The sequence below is a fragment of the Homo sapiens genome, chromosome 2 (genome assembly GCF_000001405.40).
Source record: "Homo sapiens chromosome 2, GRCh38.p14 Primary Assembly".
Lineage (NCBI taxonomy): Eukaryota > Metazoa > Chordata > Mammalia > Primates > Hominidae > Homo > Homo sapiens.
Window position 1 is genome coordinate 221981215 of NC_000002.12, and position 4814 is coordinate 221986028.

The following is a 4814-nucleotide window of genomic DNA, read 5'->3' on the forward strand; positions in this document are numbered from 1 at the left end:
GGCCTAGGAGATGGTACTGGACCCACCCCAGATTACCATGGACCATCAACATTACGAAATGAAAATTCCTAGGAGTCACCTCCTTAGCTGTCTTAGGGAACTCCATAAGAAGAAACAAGATAAAGGGCACCAAATAATTCTTGTTAAAAGGTTATCAGTTGTTTTAAGAGAAATGCAAAAGTGCAAACTTTACCCAAAAAATCATCATTAGTAAATCACTGATGAATAAGTTTTATTATCCTCTCTTTGCAGTTTTGCTTGGTCAGCCTGTTACACACCAACCAGTTTGAGCTGCATCAGACTTTATGGGTTTCCCTCTCCTTTTAATTAACTTTAAAATCTTATTAGCCCAATTATTAGCAATATGTTACAAGGCACCAAGACTGCAGCTGTGAATGTGTCTTTATTAAAAAGGCACTACCATGAGTTAAGAAACTTTCAGCATTATTATAAACTCTATAAAGGCTAGAAAGATAATTCAGTTTGCAAATTAGTCCCAATTCAAACTTGGCAAGGGAAAGCAAATTAGGTTTGAATTAATTTGCTTCCTTCTCCCATTCTTCCCCAAAACATGTAATTCCTATTAGCAATTAGCATCAGTAGACTTTACACTGGCACTTGGAAAGGTGTACCAACTCATAAAATAAGAACTGAAAGTGTGATGTTATTTTAACTTAAAAATCGATGTGTGAAGAAGGAAGAGAAATGTGCTTTTAGATATATCGTTCTTCCTAAGGGACACATAAATTACCCTAAATTTCACCCAGCTTGAAAAGCTAGTATATTGTAAACCGCTCTCTCCTTTACAAACCAGGGCCATTCTAAGAGGAACAAGAATGAATTTGTCATAGACTCAGCCCCACAAAACCTTCTAAATATAGAATCTGCTTGCCTTTGTTCACAGCTGTTCCATTCTAATAGTTTTACCAAGGGCGCAAACAGTAGGTTCCTTTATTGAAAGTGGAACTATATCTTCGGGTGCAGAGTATTTTGAAGGCCTTTTCAAGGCAAAATAAAAGAAAATGTGAAACCAAAGAGCTCTGGGGATCTATCCATTCTAATCCAGGCTCACAGACAATCTGATCCAAAATATAAAACCCCAGGACCACAGCCTTGCCTGCTACCCTTTGACACTTATATATTGTACTCCACTGCTTCTCAAACCTTAGAATGCTTTGAATCACTTTGAAACACTTGGAAAATACAGATTCAGATTCCCTGTCCTTACCCCTGAAGATTCTGACTCATTATATCTGAAGTGGAACACAGGAATTCTCTTGGGACTGGGATTTTTGGTAATTCCGAGCAAGGAGACTTTGCCTCACACTTTAAGAAATCTGATTCTACTTTTTATGTGACTTGGGCCTGCTTTAAAACAAATAGGCATAAACAAATAATTTTCTCTCTTCTTTAATTGCCTGGAAGTGGGCAATTTGGTAGTTATCAAAATTTCACAACAAATATGAATAATATCAAATAAAGTAAATTTTCTAGGCCTAGCGACTTTATTTAAAAATATTGCTCCATATGGATGAGTCCACCAGAATGGCTGAGAAACACATTGTATACCCAGAAAGCAATAGGATAAAATGAGTCTTTGGTACAGAGACATCTAGAAATATATAGTGCCTACTAGCAGAAATATCTATATACATAACATGCAGTATATGTATATGCAGTATATATGTATACATAGTAAATACATATATACATATTTGCAGTAATAATCTGTTAACCTTTATTACTAATCAAGAAAAACAAAACACCTTACTTTTAGATACGTTTGTATATTTCAGGACTCCTACAGGCTTCTATAAGTGATGCCATACCTTCACTACCGCATTTCTCACTATCTACATTTGGGCAGGACAATGCTTTGTTATTGGTCACTATGCTGTATATTGCAAGCTGTTTAATAGGATCCTTGGCCTCTAACCTACTAGATGTGAGTAGCAGCTCTCTAGCCTCCTAGTTGTGACAATCAAAATTTCTCCACATTGAAAAATATCCCCCCGTGGGGAAAATCAACCCCGGTTGAGAATTGCTATTTTACTTCTACTTCATCCTAATCATACAATACCTAGCAAGTGCTTATATGTACATTAGTATAACAGGTTGACCTAATGCTGCTATTCAAACACATCTAACATTTACTAGATGTCAGTACTATAATTTTTTAAGATGAAAAAACACCTTACATATTTGATCTTAGTCACCCTTACTAACATTTTTATAGATAAAAAAGAATCAAGCTTGGAAAGATTAAAAGACTTGCCCAAGGTAGTCAGGGATGGAGTGGAGTTTCACACCCAGTGAAACTCCCAAACCCCTATGTTTAACCACTGCTGTCAATCACCTCCCATGGCAGTGTATAAAGTTAAAACAGTGATCTTCATGACTCCTAGGAATTTTCACTCTAAAACAAGAAACACTAACACAGGCATTTATGAAGAAAATAAGCACCAAGTACAGAGATTTGTTCAACAAATCAAAAGGAGACAAAATTCTATAAATAAATGATACATAATAAACCTCATTAATTCTATTTAGAATTTGCTATAATTCAAGAAGGAGCTGGACCATTGTTGACTTTTCTACTATTTACACACACACACACTCACACAAATCTGTGAAGTGACAGTATACATAGGGTTTCCAAAGGAGTGCCTAAGCACTCCAGAAAACATGCAGACACCCACTTCTACACAGCCCAGTTACCATCCATGTAAAGACCAACGCTACTTGGATACCCAGCACAAATGGTTCATCTAGCTATTGAAGGAGATCCTCTAATGGGCCACACTTCGCCTATGTACAGGGAGAGTGTCCACTTGAAAATAACAAAATGGCTTTTTTTTTTTTTTTTTGAGACAGAGTCTTGCTCTGTTGCCCAGACTGGAGTGCAGTGGCGTGAGCTTGGCTCACTGCAACCTCTATCTCCCAGGCTCAAGTGATCCTCCTGCCTCAGCCTCCTGAGTAGCCAGGATTACAGGCAGGCACCACCATGCCTGGCTAATTTTTGTATTTTTAGTAGAGATGGGATTTCACCATGTTGGCCAGGCTGGTGTCAAACTCCTGACCTCAAGTGATCCACCTACCTTGGCCTTCCAAAGTGCTGGGATTACAGGCATGAGCCACTGCATGGGTCAAAATGGCATATTTTTAAGAATAGTATTAAGTTCTACTTTGCTGCTATTTGAGATCTCCCAACCCTCTGAATTCAGACTGCTAATCACTCTCAAAGACTGGCACCAGTGCCTCTCAACACAGCTGTCTCGTGAAGCCATCACAAAATGATGACTGTTTATACTTCCTTCCCTACTACATCAGAATGAACACAATTTTTCGGAAGGAGGAGCCAAGATGGCCGAATAGGAACAGCTCCTGTCTACAGCTCCCAGCGTGAGTGACGCAGAAGACAGGTGATTTCTGCATTTCCATCTGAGGTACCGGGTTCATCTCACTAGGGAGTGCCAGACAGTGGGCGCAGGTCAGTGGGTGCGTGCACCGTGCGCGAGCCGAAGCAGGGCGAGCATTGCCTCACCTGGGAATTGCAAGGGGTCAGGGAGTTCCCTTTCCCAGTCAAAGAAAGGGGTGACGGACTCACCTGGAAAATCGGGTCACTCCCACCCGAATATTGCGCTTTTCGGACCGGCTTAAAAAACGGCGCACCACGAGATTATATCCCACACCTGGCTCGGAGGGTCCTACGCCCACGGAATCTCGCTGATTGCTAGCACAGCAGTCTGAGATCAAACTGCAAGGCAGCAGCGAGGCCGGGGGAGGGGCGCCCGCCATTGCCCAGGCTTGCTTAGGTAAACAAAGCAGCTGGGAAGCTCGAACTGGGTGGAGCCCACCACAGCTCAACGAGGCCTGCCTGCCTCTGTAGGCTCCACCTCTGGGGGCAGGGCACAGACAAACAAAAAGACAGCAGTAACCTCTGCAGACTTAAATGTCCCTGTCTGACAGCTTTGAAGAGAGCAGTGGTTCTCCCAGCACGCAGCTGGAGATCTGAGAACGGGCAGACTGCCTCCTCAAGTGGGTCCCTGACCCCTGACCCCCAAGCAGCCTAACTGGGAGGCAATCCCCAGCAGGGGCACACTGACACCTCACACGGCAGGGTATTCCAACAGACCTGCAGCTGAGGGTCCTATCTGTTAGAAGGAAAACTAACAAACAGAAAGGACATCCACACCGAAAACCCATCTGTACATCACCATCATCAAAGACCAAAAGTAGATAAAACCACAAAGATGGGGAAAAAACAGAACAGAGAAACTGGAAACTCTAAAACGCAGAGCGCTTCTCCTCCTCCAAAGGAACGCAGTTCCTCACCAGCAACGGAACAAAGCTGGATGGAGAATGACTTTGACGAGCTGAGAGAAGAAGGCTTCAGACGATCAAATTACTCTGAGCTACGGGAGGACGTTCAAACCAAAGGCAAAGAAGTTGAAAACTTTGAAAAAAAATTTAGAAGAATGTATAACTAGAATAACCAATACAGAGAAGTGCTTAAAGGAGCTGATGGAGCTGAAAACCAAGGCTCGAGAACTACGTGAAGAATGCCGAAGCCTCAGGAGCCGATGCGATCAACTGGAAGAAAGGGTATCAGCGATGGAAGATGAAATGAATGAAATGAAGCGAGAAGGGAAGTTTAGAGACAAAAGAATAAAAAGAAATGAGCAAAGCCTCCAAGAAATATGGGACTATGTGAAAAGACCAAATCTACGTCTGATTGGTGTACCTGAAAGTGATGGGGAGAATGGAACCAAGTTGGAAAACACTCTGCAGGATATTATCCAGGAGAACTTCCC

General features: G+C 41.9%; 1 annotated feature.

The window, feature by feature from the left end:
* Positions 3558-4110: an enhancer, noted in NCBI's record as "H3K27ac-H3K4me1 hESC enhancer chr2:222849491-222850043 (GRCh37/hg19 assembly coordinates)". NCBI's record gives its function as "activates a minimal SCP1, AML or CMV promoter by ChIP-STARR-seq in primed H9 embryonic stem cells {active_cell/tissue: H9 hESC(primed)}" and the evidence as "EXISTENCE:reporter gene assay evidence [ECO:0000049][PMID:30033119]".